The sequence below is a fragment of the Homo sapiens genome, chromosome 15 (assembly GCF_000001405.40).
Source record: "Homo sapiens chromosome 15, GRCh38.p14 Primary Assembly".
NCBI classification, from domain to species: Eukaryota; Metazoa; Chordata; class Mammalia; order Primates; family Hominidae; genus Homo; species Homo sapiens.
Genome location: NC_000015.10, coordinates 29,133,898 through 29,147,887, shown reverse-complemented (window position 1 = coordinate 29,147,887; position 13,990 = coordinate 29,133,898). Strand labels below are relative to the sequence as shown.

The following is a 13,990-nucleotide window of genomic DNA, read 5'->3' as shown; positions in this document are numbered from 1 at the left end:
TGTTTGCCTTCTTGGCTGTTATTAATAATGCTGTTATGAACATCCTTGTACAAGTTTTTGTGTCAACATATGTTTTAATTTATCTTGAGTATATACCTTGGAGGGGAATTGCTGGGTCATAAGGATGATTCTGTTTTTGAGGAACTGCAAGATTGTTTTCCAAAGCAGCTGTGCCATTTTACATTCCCACCGTGAGACCATGAGGGTTCCAGTTTCTTCACATCCACTCCAACATTTATGATCTTTCTTTTAATTGTAACCATCTTAGTGGTGGTGAAGTGGTATTTCATTGTGGTTCCAGTTTCTTCACATCCACGCCAACACTTATGATCTTTCTTTTAATTATAACCATCATGGTGGTGAAGTGGTATTTCATTTTGGTTCCAGTTTCTTCACATCCACGCCAACACTTATGATCTTTCTTTTAATTATAACCATCATGGTGGTGAAGTGGTATTTCATTTTGGTTCCAGTTTCTTCACATCCACGCCAACACTTATGATCTTTCTTTTAATTATAACCATCGTAGTGGTGGTGAAGTGGTATTTCATTGTGGTTTGGATTTGCATTTCCCTGATAATTAATGATGGTGAACATACTTTCATGCACTTGTGGCTATTTGTATATTTTCCCTACAGAAATGTTTTTCAGACCTTTTGCCTATTTTTAAAATTGGGTTATTTGTCTTTTTATTACTGAGTTGTAAAAGTTATTTCTGTATTTCAGGCACAACCCCCTTATCAGATATATAATTTGTAAATTTCTCTCCCACCCTGTGGGTTATCTTTTCACTTGATGCACAAAAGTTTCAATTTGGATGAAGTTCAGTTTCTCTGCTTTTTTCTTTAGTTGTTTGTGCTTCTGGTGTCACATCTAAGAAAGCAATGCCTAAGAGCTTTATAGTGTTACTGTTAGCTCTTACACTTAGGGTTTTTTGGTTTTTTTTTTTCCCCAAGATGGAGTCTTGCTCTGTCACCCAGGCTGGAGTGCAGTGGTGTGATCTCGGCTCACCACAACCTCTGCCTCCCAGGTTCAAGCAATTCTCCTGCCTCAGCCTCCCGAGTAGCAGAGATTACAAGCGTGTGCCACCACCCCAGGTAATTTTTGTATTTTTAGTAGAGACGGGGTTTCACCACGTTGGCCAGGCTGGTCTCAAACTCCTGACCTTGTGATCAGCCTGCCTTAGCCTCCCAAAGTGCTGGGATTACAGGCGTGAGCCACCACACCCGGCCTGCACATAGGTGTTTAGACCATTTTGAGTTCATTGTTATACACTGTGTGAGGTAGGGGTCCAGCTTTGTTCTGTTTCCAACACCATTTGTTGAAAAAATGAATCTTTCCCCGTTGAATGGTCTTGGTAACATTAGTCAGACTCAATTGACCATAGATATACGTGTTTATTTCTGGACTCTCAATTCTATTCCATTGACCTATGTCTGTCCTGATGCCAGTGCCACATGGTTTCGATTGCTGTAGCCTCATAGTAAGTTTTGACGTGTGGACGTGTGAGCCCTCCAGTTCTGTAGTTTTTGAACATTGTTTTGGATATTCTGTGCCCTTTGATTTCATATGAACTTTAGGTTGAGTTTGTCAACTTCTGCAAACAATCCACCCGGGATTTTGATGAGGATTGTGGTTAATCTGTGGATCAGTTTCAGGAATATTGTCATCTTAACAATAGTAAGTCCTCCAACCTATGGACATGAGGTACCCTTCCATTCATTTAGATGTTCTTTAATTTCTTTCAGTTATATTCACGGTTTTCAGTGTGCAAGTTTTGCTTTTTTGTTAAATTTATTCCTGAGTATCTTATTCTTCTTGATGCTATCATAAATGGAATTACTATCTTAATTAAATTTTCAGATCATTCATTGCTAATATATAGAAATACAAATGATTTTTTATATTGATCTCATATCCTGAAACCATGCTGAACTCATTTTGAGCTTTATTGTTGTTGGGCTTTTCTCTGGATTCTTTCTATATGCAAAATCATGTCACCTGCAAATAGAAATCAGTTTACTTCACTCTGGATGTCTTTCATCTTGTCTTCTTTCCTGATTGCCCTGGCTGGAACCTCCACTACGATGTTGAATAGAAGCAGTGAGAGTGGACTTTCTTAGCTTGTATCTAGGGGAAGCATCCAGTCTGTCACCATTAAGTAGTATGTTAGCTGTGGGTTTTTCATAGATGCTGTTGATCAGATTCAGGAAGTTCCCTTCTATTCCTAGTTTGTTGGTTGTTTTTTTTTTTTTTTTTTTTTTTGAGATGGAGTCTCGCTCTGTCGCCCAGGCTGGAGTGCAGTGGTATAATCTCGGCTCACTGCAAGCTCTGCCTCCCGGGTTCACGCCATTCTCCTGCCTTAGCCTCCTGAATAGTTGGGACTACAGGCGCCCGCCACCACACCTGGCTAATTTTTTTGTATTTTTAGTAGAGACGGGGTTTCACCGTGTTAGCCAGGATGGTCTCAATCTCCTGACCTCGTGATCTGCCCACCTCGGCCTCCCAAAGTGCTGGGATTACAGGCATGAGCCACCGTGTCCAGCCTGTTGGGTCTTTTTTATCAAAAAGAAAGTTGGATTTTGTCAAATGCTTTTTCTGCATCTATTGAGATGACCATAGGGTTTTTGTCCTCTGTTCTATTAATATGTTGAATTACACAGATTGATTTTTCTGATGTTAAGCCAACCTTGCATTTGCGAGATAAATCCCACTTGGTTATGATAAGTAATCCTTTTCATATTAATAGAAGAGTTTGGAAGTGTTTCTTCCTCTTCCGTTTGTTGGAAGATTGTTATGAAGAATTTGTATTAATTATTCATTAAATTTTTTTTGAGATGGAGTCTCTCTGTCACCCAAACTGGAGTGCAGTGGCTTGATCTCAGCTGACTGCATCCTCCACCTCCCACGTTCAAGTGATTCTCCTGCCTCAGCCTCCTTAGTAGCTGGGATTACAGATGTATGCCACCACATCCGGCTAATTTTTTATTTTTTTATTTTTTTTATTTTTAGTAGAGATGGGGTTTCACCATGTTGGGCAGGCTTGTCTTGGACTCCTGACCTCAGGTGGTCCAGCCGCCTCAGCCTCCCAGAGTGCTGGGATAACAGGTGTGAGCCACCACACCCGGCTAAATGTTTTTTTTTGTTTGTTTTTTCCTGAGACAAGGTCTCACTCTGTCCCCCCAGCTGGAGTGCAGAGGTGCGATCATGGTTCACTGCAGCCTCTACCTCCTGGGCTCAAGCAATCCTCCCACTTCAGCCTCCCAAGTAGCTGAGACTACAGGCACACGTCACCATGCCCAGCTAATTTTTTAATTTTTTTGTAGAGACAGGTTCCCTCTATGATGCCCAGGCTGGTCTCGAACTCGTAGGCTCAAGTGACCCTCTCTCCTTGGGCTCCCCAAGTGCTTGGATGATAGGCATGAGCTACCATGCGCGGCCCTTCTTTAAATATTTGATAGAGTTCACCAGTGAAGCCATCTGAGCCTGCACTTTTCCTTGCGGGTAGTTGTATTATTACTAATTCAATCTCTTGTCACATTTTCTATTCTTCTCAAGTCTGTTTTGGTAGTTTGTGTCTTTCTATGAATTTCTCCACATATACAGGATTTAAGTTAAAGTAAAATGGGTTCAGTATGTATGTATTATGTTTGCATGTGTATGTGTGTGTGAAACTCCCCACTTTAAATAACTTTCTTATTCATTAACCAGGCAACCACTAGTCCCAGAGAAGAAGGCGTCTCTTGGCATCTGTGTGTCTTGGTGTTTTGTGCTTTCCTCAGCATGACTTTCTTCTTACCCTGTCATTTCTTTGGAGTGCGTCACTTCCCTCCTCCTCCCACACCATGGCCAGCTTCTGGGTTTTCCTGCGGTGGTTTAAAGTCATTTAGTTCCAGGCGAAATGTGTTAGAGTGTAAGCTCTTTGGGATGTCTTTTCTATGTCACTCCTCCTTAGCCCTTAAATCACAGCATCCCTTCACATCTTCATGACCCCTTTAGATTTAATTTTATAGAAGCTTTACTGCTCACTGCTGTTTCTGTGTTCTTTACCTTCCTGTATGTCGGCCTCTTTGTTCTGAGCGGGTTTTCATTTCTTGCATTCAGTTGTGGCTTTGGTTGTACTAACTCTTCATTTCTGGTGTTTATTTGTATCTGAGACCTTCCAAGTGAGAAGCACTAATTTATAAAGGGAGCATAATTAAGGAGGAAGGTCACTGTGGGCAAGTGTGTGTAAGCCCTTCGGCCACCCTTTCCCAATCAACTAATTTCTTTTCTCAGAAAGAACCTGTGGGAAGCCCCCCGAGCCACAGCTCCAGCCCCCACGGCCCTTCTCTGGTGCCCTGTTGTGCTGCGCCCTACAGAGGGGTGCTGGGCTGAGGGGATGACAGCCATGCCCTGACCTCCCACAGGAAGGAGCACCTCTTCCCAATTTGCCCCCAAGGCAGCCCTGCAGCCTGGCAACTCTGCTCCACTGTGCGGGTCTCAGCCCCACTTTCCCAGCCCCTCTCCCTGCTCCTCCATGTTAGCAGGAAGGACCCAGGCTGTGATTTCTATTGTGATTGATGTGCTGACAACTTACACAATTGATCAAAATTCCAGCCGTAACCATTTTTCAGGAAGAGTCCCAGTTTTGTGTTTACTGATCTGTTCACTTCTTTGCTCACTCATTCATTCATTCAGTTAGTCAGCAATTATCTCAGGGGCTTTGCTATGTGTCCAGTGCTGGTGGGAATCTAGGAATAGCAAGAACAAGTCTCCAAAGAACCTGAAACTCCCATCTTATTTCTGTGGATCAGCAATTTGGGATCATTAACTGCCGATGGAACTAGCATAATGCATGCTTGTATCCATGAGAAGCAAAGCGTTCTGCCTATTGTCAGAACTGATGAAGCTGAGCTACTCTAATATGTGTGGAAATCGTGGCAAAAGACATTCTGATGATACAATGTGGTTGATTGACATCATTTAGCAGAAAAGGTTTTTGATCATTTAAGTGTCTGTAATGTCATTTTTTTTTTGTTTTTAAATGTCATCTCATTCTTCCACTTTTCTGATACATTGTTTTCTTCTTCACTTACTTCCTCGCCAGCTGCTGCAGCCTCAGGAATATCATCTACTATGACATGTATCTCCATTAGGCATGCGCTTATTAACTTCATCTTTCATTATTGTCATTTAGGTAGCTGTCTGCCCTACAGAGTTGACCTCCTTTAGACAGTGCAGAGGGGGCACTGTGCCTTCCATCGCGTGGTAACTGTGGGTTTGCCCATGGAGCTGGTTAAGCGGTGCTGGCTGGTCAGGGACACGACACCACCCCATGGGAGCCACAGCATCACCAAGTTCACCAGTGTCTTCTCTCCGCCTCACCCCAGCACTGGCTGCACCTGCTGGAGAGGGCACTCTGGGGACCCACAGTAACCTTGAGGTCCTTGAGGCCTGGGCTCCACAGAATTGTCTCTGGACAGTAGGTGCTACTTATCTATCAGACCAGGAACTTCATCCAAACAGCTAATGCAGACAATCATAAAAATGATGTGGACACACAATCGTTTTTCTTTGACGTCAGATATGCTAATGAGCATCTGTCAACCAGTCATCTCATTTGGGGCTGTGGTCATCCCTTTGGTTATGGGTCTGTTGTCCTGTCTGGGTGTATTTCTTGCAGAAAGTTTGTGGAAATCACACCATCAATGATTTTCAGATTCAGTTCCTCTAAAGTGGAGCCAGCCAGGGGAAGCCAGCCAGGGGAGACAGACCTTCCCTAGATTTTTATGATTCTTCTCTGCTCTTAGACCTGCCTTGCCTGGACTTGACTTGGCAGCGGTTTCTGCTTGGCTGCCCTCCTTTATTGAGTCTTTCCAAAGCATTCAACTTGGTTTTCACAGAACGAGCAGCTCTTCCTGTCTGCATCCCTATTTCCTTATGCAATTACAGTCATAATGAACACAGGCCTCACCCTGTGCAGTAAGGCACCCTGGAGCCCTGGGTGGGCATGGAACCTACCTGGGGGTGGCGGCAGGACCAGGGGGCCGCAGGGCGGGCTCTCCCCAGGGTCTGGAGCGCAGAGCGGGAGCTCCAGCTCATCTGCAGGGTTGTCCAGGAGGAAGTTGATTCAGCAAACTTCGGTAGTAACAAGCCTGCTGTTTCTACCAAGTCTAAGGAAGGCAGAGGGAGAAGGCCCTTCCCTGTAATTCTGAGTCTTTCTGGAAAAATTCAGAGGTGTGTGTGCTCCCTTCAGGAGCCAGGATGTGGCAAGGACATTGGTAGAGGGAGCAGGGAGAGTGGGTGCTGGGCAGGAAACCACTAAATATAAAGGGAGGTGAGCAGACCCGGCTGGGACCTGGAGGAACAGGCAGCTCAGAGCTCCACGGTGTTTCTGCAAATCCCCGGCCCTTGTCCACAGACCCCTGATGCCTGCCCTGCCCCACCTTGTTCCCGATGGCAGGAGATGGAGGCATGGGCTGGATGAGCTCATACTAATGATCCAAGCCTTCCTTTCAGCCACACAGCACTGCTGTCTGGGTCTGTGTGAGCAATGGTGCTTCTCAGGGAAGGGGACTGAGACTCACAGGATCAGAAATGTGCTCACATCCTGTGGGCCCTCAGTGCCCAGGCAGGGCCCAGAGACAACTGACTTGCGGTCTGACTCCCGGTCCCAGGCAGGTTGACCTCTTCACGATCTCCCTCAGATCCCAGACTCTGGGCTGTGTGGATAGACTGAAATGTTCGGGGCTCTGTGTTAAGTGGGCTTTGGGAAGCTGCCCAAGGCCAGGTAGCCTTAGTTCTCATCCTCCATCACTTCCACGTGCACCCACCTGAGAAGGTGGACAGCACACACCTGAGTTCGGATCCCCTCTCCCCGGAGCAGACTGAGCAGGGGCTCTTCTCCAGCGGGGTCTCAAATCCTCACTCCTGTTGTGCGGGGACAGCCCTGGGCACTAGTGATGCCCACATCGGGTGCATGAGCCCCAGCTGGGCACCAGACACAGGTGTACCTTTGTCACCACATGGATCAGAGAAGACAGTTACAGATCAGGGCAAACAGAGCCACCTGGGAAAGAAGGGACTGTTCACAGCCCCTTTTTTGCCCTCCACCTCCAGGTGCAGAGTTGAGCTTTATACCTGGCAGTCAACATGCAGGTGAGGCTGCAGAGCCTGGAGCTTGGGTGGGATGGGGGAGGGGTGGCTGCCCACTGGCTTTTCAGGGTCACAGGCATTTCCGCTGGTCCTGAAGGTGACTGGGAGGCGCCAGGTGAAAGGGAGGTGGGGAGCTGGGAAGAAGGAACAATACGTGTTTGATAGTAGGGATTAGAGCTGGTTTGTTCAAAGAGCGGGGAGTTTGGGGGCGCTGGGTTAGGAAGCTGGAAACCAGATGGAGTTCAGTGAGCCAGGGTCTCATTAAAGTCTTTTCAACTGCAGTGACCTCATCAGATTGATTTAAAAACAGCTGTGGTAGCAGGATGGCGACCAAATTACAGAGACAGAAAATCAAGGCAGAGAGGCACACAGGTTAGAAGCTCCTGCGAGGAGGAGGTGGACAGGGGCTGAGTGGAGTTGCCCCGCAAGGAGGCGTCTGCCCGTCTCCTCTGCAGAAGTTTACTGAGTACCCGCTGTGTGCGATTGTGAGACGGGTACAGAGGTGGGTAAAATAGATGTGCCCCAGATGGTCAGGAAAAGAAATTGCCCTTAGGATTTCAACACAGTTACGGGGAGCAGGTTACTTGGGTGTGGAAGGCTGAAGGAACAGAAGAGGGTGCTGAGCTTACAGAGAGTGGAATAAGTGCGGAGGGCAGCTCTCAGCCCGCAAAGCCGGGGAACAGAAGGGAGGAGGTGGGAAGGCGCAGGAAACCCGCAGCTCCCTCCTCGCCCCGCAGGCCGGCCAGGTGCCCTCTGGCACCCCCTACAGGCAGAGCCTGCCGGCAGCCCAGGCACGGCAGCCTGGGAAGCGTAGTCTGCAGACCTCCAGCCCCAGCCTGCAGAGCAGAGGACAGAGCTGGCCACCCTGGGCCGCGAGACACACCCAGACCTAATTAAACACACACTGATGGTGGGGAAGAGAGGGGAGACGTCAAGCGCCACTTGCAGGATTCTCGCTGGGGAGGCTGAGGAGTCAAGGTCAAAGGATTCCTGGGAAAAGGGTCCAGGAAGGTGGGGCCAACATGTCCCCGAAAGGCGACCCGGAGCAGATGCAGCCGCGTCCTTTGACCTTTACATAGCCTCCAGTGTGTGGCAGCCTCTGCTCACTTGCACCTGCGGAGAGGGTCCCTTGCACCTCTGCCCCTCCTCAAATGCTTGTTCTCCTTCCTGGTGGAATGGTGCCTTGAATTGGAAAGTGTTTTGGTGTCTGCATGTCATTAGTTTTGCTTGGGTATGTCATTGATATTTTTTCTAATTTCTGATAGAGACTAATTGAAAATATTTCCTGATTAGACCTGAGGGCATTTGCCCTCGCCCTGCTTCTCAGCTCTGTGCAGCAGGCATCAGGACTGACAGCCTCCAAGGCGGAGGACCACAGACGCACATGCGTCCCGCTCACAGCGGATGATTCACCTCTGTTTCGGACAATTAAACACACGCAGCCGTGGGTCGGTCCAGCCAGAGAGGCGAGGAGTGTGCTCCGTGTGTTAGGAGGCCCACGGGAGCCATTTTCCTGTGATGTGTTAGACCTTTAGACACGGCCACCAGCCTTTCTTCGTCAACCTAGAGCATGCTTATTTCACAGCGCTTGACCCCATTCAGAATCGTCACCTCACCCATACCCGTGCAAAAGTGCTTCACGTCCTGGCCTCTGTCAGCTCCAGCCCACCCTACCCCTGCTGCCAGAAGGCACCTCCTACCACGCAGCTCCAGTCCCCCTGCTCCCCAGCTCCAACACCCTTACAGGCTCCCCAGTGCCCCAGAATTAAGAATTGACTTCCAGAGCCTTATCTATTTGCTTTTCTTAAACACATCCTTCCCTGGCTCACCTGTTCTGGGGCTTGAGTGTCTCCCTGAGCGCCCACTAGATGAAATCCCACCAATCTTTCAAGACCCGTTCAGATGCGTTCTTCATGAATGCTTTGGGGAGCGCAGTCCCCACACAGTGCTTGGAGACCTCACTGTTTTCTAATGGAGCTGTCCTTGCTTGTGTAGGGTGATTCTGGGTCCCTGTCTTCCCCTCAACACACACACACACACACACACACGCATACACACACATACACATACACACAGAGACACACACATCTACATGCACATACACATACACATATACACATGCACATACACATACATACAAACACACACATACATATATACACAGACACATGCACATGCACATACACATGCACATGCACACACACACACAACACACACATACAGACACACACGCACTCACCCTTCCTCTCCTTACCTCACCTGCCCTGCGCCAGGAGGGCCCCTGGCCCAGAGCTTTTGCAGCATGGATCTTCTTGCCGTGTAGACACTCATAGGGCGGCATTGACTGGAGCTGGAGCAATGTCCCAGGCATCTCACGCCACAGGTGACCTCTGGGCAGCAGAGATGTGAAGGTGGAAAGAAAAGCAGTTGGTTGTTGGTTAGTCCTTCAGAAACGGAAAACTAGGCAGAAACAGGTTTCATTTTTGTTAAAGTGATTTCACCTCACTATTAAAGCAGCATCTCGGTGTTCAAGGTTGGCCAGTAGAATGTTCTGGAACTCATGAAGTTGTCTCTCTTTCCTCAGAGCAGTGTTTTACAAACTGTGTGAAATCCTGAGACTGCAAAATATTAATAGATACTACGTGTCCAAAGGGGCCCATTATGAAATATTTGAGAAATGCTGGGTTAAAATGTTAAACAGCTAAATAAGTACTTCAGCACAGCCCTTCTCAGAGCCTTTAACACACGAATGCACAATGCAGGACTCCAAGAAGGGAGCATGTGGCATTTCCCACAGATTGACCACGGGAATTCTGGGGTGGGGTGGGGACATTTCGAGGGGAGGGTCTAGTGTTTTCTCATGAACACACTTTGAGAAATGCCGTCTTTGTTTGTTTGTTTTTTCAGACAGAGTCTCAAAAACACTCCAGTCTGTTGCCTAGGCTGGAGTGCAATGGCACAATCTTGGCTCACTGCCACCTCCGCCTCCCGGGTTCAAGCAGTTCTCCTGCCTCAGCCTCCCAAGTAGCTGGGATTACAGGCATGCACCACTACGCCCAGCTAATTTTTTGTATTTTTAGTAGAGACGGGGTTTCGCCATGTTGACCAAGCTGGTTTCGAAATCCTGATCACAGGTGATCCACCCGCCTCGGCCTCACAAAGTGCTGGGATTACAGGCATGAGCCACCACACCCAGCCGAAGTGCCGTCTTAAACCACGCACGTCAGGCAGCCTTCCGTCTGCAGTCTTTGAGTACTGTCATCAGAGGGGCCAGTTGGAGTGGTAGGGACAGCATGAAAGACTTCCCAGACCATATGTTTTCTTTAAAAAGAGGCATTCTGTATAACAGCGTGGGCAACAAAGCGTTTTGAGACTTCTGAGACGAGGCGTTCCTCCTGGCGCCTTCATTTTAAAGTGTGTGCTTAGCAGTCATGGCTTGACAGTTGAAATTACAGGCATTCCAAACTGATCATTAAAGCTCTCGTATAATTAGCTTAATGAGACACAAGCCACACAAGATGTCCCAGATAACTCTGTGGTTGTCTCTGTTTTCCAGTTCCTTCCGCAGAGGTCACATCCTGCCAACCCCACCTGCGTGACTCCTCACGGCACCGTTCTCCACCAGACCCTGGATTTCGACGAGTTCATCCCCCCACTCCCGCCTCCACCCTATTACCCCCCAGAGTACACCTGCACACCGTCCACTGAGGCCCAGAGGTTGGTCTCCCGCGGCTGCCCCCATCTCGAAACCACTAAGATGGGCAGCAGTGTCCGGGTGGTGGGAGTTGCAGTGGTCCTGCAGGCATGGCGGTGAGAACAGAGGAGGGGCAGTGGAAGGAGAGGGTCTTAGACATACAGCGTTCCCCGTGGCACCTTTGCAACGCAACCCGAAAGAAGCCGGAGGCAGACAGGTGTTGCTGCCTTAAGTTCTCATGACGTGCAAAGCTGCGGTCACGTTGCAGTCATTTGTGTAACATGTACAGTTTAATGAAAGATGTAATCAGCTGTATGATTATTTGAATTTTAATGGACAGGTCAGTAGAGTTTATTGAAAATGTTGATGTCGTTCCAGAAAAAAAAAAAAAACAAAAGTGCAAATCGCCCAGTGACTGAAGCTTTGATTTCACAATGATGGGAAGTATTAGAAGAGGGGAAGCCCTGGCCGCCCCTGCTCTGGCGGCTTTGAGAGCTGTCAGCACTTCTGCCTCCTCCTTCGGGCAATGACGATGTGATGATTCTGTCTTTTCAGGGGCCTCCACCTGGACTTTGCTCCGTCTCCATTCGGCACTTTGTATGACGTGGCCATCAATAGCCCCGGCCTGCTCTATCCTGCTGAGCTCCCCCCTCCGTACGAGGCGGTGGTGGGCCAGCCCCCTGCCAGCCAGGTGAGGCCTGGGGCCCCAGACAAAGCCAGTTCCCGTGGGAATGCTAGGGACACCGTCCCGGCCTGCCCTCGGAAGGCACCTCACACCGCGCCAGGTCCGAGCTGGCTGTGAGGTGAACACTCATGAGCGCCCTGTGCCGAGGCCCCCGGATGCATTCATCTCTCTTGAAGCCTTTCAGCAAACCTGTGGGATGTTGGTCTTATCAGCCCTGTGCTGTAGATGAGGCCACAGGCTCAGAGAGCGGCACCTGCAGAGACGCCAGCCCGGGCCTGGGGAACCCAGTGCTGGTGCTTTTCCCCTTAGATCCCCAGTTCCATTTCTGCAGCCACGAGTCACAGCCCAGGTGCGTCTGAGCTTTGTGCTGGTAGGTGGTCTGGGATCCAGGTAAAAGGACCTGGGACAGCTCCTGACCCAAGGGGAGAGCCCCCAGGAGCAGAGCTGGGTCCATGGACCGAGTACCCAGGGCGCCCCGGCCTGTCTTGATCACACACTGCCATCACCGCCCTCTGGGGTGGGGAGAAAGCAGCCCTGGATCCCTGGTCCTGTCTGAGGCCAAGAAGCTTCAGGCCAGGGAAGTGCCTCAGTTGCCAGGTCCTTTCAGCCTTCTCTGAGCTGGGCATGCCAGGCACTCCTGCAGCCTCATGGTGCCTGACACGTGACAGGCAGTATGTTCGTGGAGCCTCAGTTTCCTCATCTGTAAAATGAGGATCATAACAGTACCAGGGTTATGGGACGAAATGGGATGTTGTCCGTAATGGAGCCAACAGGACTTGGAACATGGGAAGTTCTGAATTCAGCAAGTCAGTCACCCTTTTGGGGTATTGTTTCCTCCTCATCATCGTTGTTGTCATGACTCAGTGTGGAATGCTGCTAGCCAGGACAGAGAGATGGGGACATCTGGAAAAGTCACGTGGCCCATAGTGCAAGGGATCTTCCAAGGACCCACCCTCCAAGGAACATGGGGTTATGTAAATAGACCAAATCGACAGCTCACTGGTGTCCCTGAAATACAGGGAGAGAAAGCAAACGACTGGAAAACATATTTTAGGATATCATCCATGAACATTGCCCCAATCCTGCTAGAGAGGCCGACAGTCCAGTTTAGGAAATGCAGAGAACTCCCGTGACAGGTGGCCAAGGAGGTCCTGGAGGCCTCGGGGACTGGGGCATGGCTGGGGAACACAGCAGTGAGTTGGAGCAGAGGGCGTGGGCAGGGGAGACTTGCAGATTCACCAGGGAGGGGCGGGGGTAGGGGCTGAAGCCAATTCTGAGCCCAAGCAACAAGCAGAGGAGAGCAGATGACAGCATGACCAGAAGCATCCAGGCCCACCCAGAACTGCACCTGCTTTGGGCTTCTCAGCAGCCGTGGAGCCCCGGATGGTTATCTCTACCCAGATCACTGGCCAGGCACTGGTACCGGGCATCAGATCAGGCCTGGCCAGCTGCTCGCTGTCTGCTGACTCCTGTAAAGACACCCTAGCACAGGGTTCAGACCTTTTGATGTCACCCCCAATGCTCTCCCTGTCACTTTGAGATCCCGAGAGCCCACATGCACGCAAGCCAGGTGGCAATGCTGGTCCCTGTCCCAACCAGTGACCAAGGCAGCGCTGACCCTGAGGAGCTTCTGTGGGTGGAGGAGCAGTTTCCATGTTGGCTGAATAAGCTCACAAGCCCTTCCGACAATCACACCCACAAGGACTGGTCACCGTTGCAGGCAGGGTGGTCTTAGGACAGGAAGAGATGTGACTTCTCTGTGCCCTGTGGAGTCATATATGGACAGCGCATTCAGACGCTGTAAGGTGCCCCGCACCTGGGGAGTCATATATACCACAGGGACCTCCTTCAGGGTGGCTTGTGGTGGGCCAGATCAGCTTCCGGCTGGCCCGTGAGCCCCCAGCACATCCTCACACAAGCAGACAGTCCCCAAGCAGCCACCCTGAAACACCTGGAGCAGCCAGGCAGGCTGCAGACAGTGGCCCCCTGAGCCCCGGCCAGGACCCCCTTTTTACTGTGGGTGCTAGAAGCAGATGTGTGGGAGCTGCCTGTGGAGAGGAATCCTTTAGTCAGGAGGTGGGCATGGCCCTGAAATCCCATTCCTGAACTGGCAGTAATGGAGATGTTCTTAGGTGTTTTTATAAAGCTGAGCTGGGACCTCTGCCTTCCCAATGTTGTTTAGTTTTCCATTTATGATAAAAATAATTCAAATCAATGTTATCAGTGGAGACAGTTGGCTGTGATAATAGTTGTCATCAGCACTGCAAGGGGAGCCCAGTACACTGTGGGGCACCTGTCATGATGTCAGGCCCAATTTGGGGGTCCATGGAAGGTCTGGGAGGTCAGGCTGGGTGGGCATCAGGCATGCGAGGTGCAGGGAGTGGGGCTGGAAGGGCTCCTGAGAGAGGGAACAGCCTGTGCAAAGGCTCAGAGGGAAGAAGGACAGGCACAGCGTATCCCCCAAACAGAAGGTC

The 13,990-nt window shown here is 49.7% G+C and overlaps 1 protein-coding gene across 7 annotated transcripts in view, besides 1 other annotated feature; it reads left to right on the top strand.

The window, feature by feature from the left end:
- Window positions 1-13,990, top strand: part of ENTREP2 (endosomal transmembrane epsin interactor 2) — a 557,698-nt gene that overhangs the window by 527,522 nt on the left and 16,186 nt on the right. For all 7 annotated transcript variants that reach the window (NM_001387217.1, NM_001387215.1, XM_047432323.1 and 4 more), the window contains 2 exons: window positions 10,694-10,854; window positions 11,387-11,522. In NM_001387217.1, coding sequence (NP_001374146.1) covers window positions 10,694-10,854; window positions 11,387-11,522 — 297 coding nt within the window. The remainder of the gene's footprint in view (window positions 1-10,693; window positions 10,855-11,386; window positions 11,523-13,990) is intronic.
- Window positions 7,201-8,014: an enhancer, noted in NCBI's record as "H3K4me1 hESC enhancer chr15:29432077-29432890 (GRCh37/hg19 assembly coordinates)". NCBI's record gives its function as "activates a minimal SCP1, AML or CMV promoter by ChIP-STARR-seq in naive H9 embryonic stem cells {active_cell/tissue: H9 hESC(naive)}" and the evidence as "EXISTENCE:reporter gene assay evidence [ECO:0000049][PMID:30033119]".